Here is a 1,978-nt window from a genome sequence, read left to right as displayed (position 1 = left end):
TACCACACCTCTGACCCAGAGCCAATGGGCTTCTGAGGGGGAGAAGGCTTTTCTCCTAAAGTTGCTAAATATTTTCCTCCACAACAATTTGGTCATCATGTCCTCATTGCAGAATCACTTTACCTCCCAAGACCCATTATCAGGTTTCCTTCAACCACAAGGTATATTGAGTTTTTTGAACATATAGCAGATGTTTCTCAAGGCATAAAATGACTAATTGCTCTTTGAGTATCTACTCAGGGATTCTATGGTCCATGAAACAATGACAAGTAGTATCTTATAGCTCTTATCTTCTAAGACTCTTTGTATTATATGGACAATTTCTGGGTGATAAGTTGTTCTTCAGCCCTTTGATAGTCAATACAGTCCCACCTGGAAACTAATGAGGAGACTGAACGTCGTGGATCTAAACACAAAGCCTTATGCACAGTGAAGAAAACAATCAACAGAGTGAAAAGGCAATCTAAGAAATGGGAGAAAAGATTTGCAAACTATGTATCTAAAAAGGGGTTAATATCCAAAATATATAAGAAACTTCTAGAACTCAATAGCAAACAAACAAAAAAAATTTAGGCTGGGCATGGTGGCTCACGCCTGTAATCCCAGCACTTTGGGAGGCCGAGGTGGGTGGATCACAAGGTCAGGAGATCAAGACCATCCTGGCCAACATGGTGAAACCCCATCTCTACTAAAATACAAGAAATTAGCTGGGCGTGGTAGTGCATGCATGTAGTCCCAGCTACTCCGGAGGCTGAGGCAGGGGAATCACTTAAACCCAGGAGGCGGAGATTGCAGTGAGCCAAGATCGCGCCACTGCACTCCAGCCTGGCAACAGAGCAAGACTCTGTCGCAAAAAAAAAAAAAAAAAAAAAAAAAAATTTAATGGGCAAAGGACTTGAGTGAAGGGGTGGGTTGCCCCTCCACACCTTTGGGTGTTTCTCGTAAGGTGGAACGAGAGACTTGGAAAAGAAAAAGACACAGAGACAAAGTATAGAGAAAGAAATAAGGGGACCCGGGGAACCAGCGTTCAGCATATGGAAGATCCCGCCAGCCTCTGAGTTCCCTTAGTATTTATTGATCATTCGTGGGTGTTTCTCCGAGAGGGGGATGTGTCAGGGTCACAAGACAATAGTGGGGAGAGGGTCAGCAGACAAACACGTGAACAAAGGTCTTTGCATCATAGACAAGGTAAAGGATTAAGTGCTGTGCTTTTAGATATGCATACACATAAACATCTCAATGCTTTACAAAGCAGTATTGCTGCCCGCATGTCCCACCTCCAGCCCTAAGGCGGTTTTTCGCTATCTCAGTAGATGGACCGTACAATCGGGTTTTATACCGAGACATTCCATTGCCCAGGGACGGGCAGGAGACAGATGCCTTCCTGGGCAGGAGACAGATGCCTTCCTCTTGTCTCAACTGCAAGAGGCATGCCTTCCTCTTATACTAATCCTCCTCAGCACAGACCCTTTACGGGTGTCGGGCTGGGGGACGGTCAGGTCTTTCCCTTCCCACGAGGCCATATTTCAGACTATCACATGGGGAGAAACCTTGGACAATACCTGGCTTTCCTAGGCAGAGGTCCCTGCGGCCTTCCGCAGTGTTTGTGTCCCTGGGTACTTGAGATTAGGGAGTGGTGATGACTCTTAAGGAGCGTGCTGCCTTCAAGCATCTGTTTAACAAAGCACATCTTGCACCGCCCTTAATCCATTTAACCCTGAGTTGACACAGCACATGTTTCAGAGAGCACGGGGTTGGGGGTAAGGTCACAGAATCTCAAGGCAGAAGAATTTTTCTTAGTACATAACAAAATGGAGTCTCCCATGTCTACTTCTTTCTACACAGACAGAGTGACAATCTGATCTCTCTTGCTTTTCCCCACACTTGAGTATATATTCCTCCAAAGAAGACATAGAAATGGCCAACAGGTATATAAAAAGATGCTCAGTATCATTAATCATCAGAAAAATACAAATCA

At 44.9% G+C, this 1,978-nt stretch overlaps 1 annotated feature.

Moving 5' to 3' along the window:
* Positions 843-1,371: an enhancer, noted in NCBI's record as "NANOG-H3K27ac hESC enhancer chr1:209315048-209315576 (GRCh37/hg19 assembly coordinates)". NCBI's record gives its function as "activates a minimal SCP1, AML or CMV promoter by ChIP-STARR-seq in naive H9 embryonic stem cells {active_cell/tissue: H9 hESC(naive)}" and the evidence as "EXISTENCE:reporter gene assay evidence [ECO:0000049][PMID:30033119]".

This window comes from Homo sapiens, chromosome 1, assembly GCF_000001405.40.
Source record: "Homo sapiens chromosome 1, GRCh38.p14 Primary Assembly".
Lineage (NCBI taxonomy): Eukaryota > Metazoa > Chordata > Mammalia > Primates > Hominidae > Homo > Homo sapiens.
Note: the sequence above shows the minus strand (reverse complement) of the source record. Positions and strands in the feature narration are given on the sequence as shown.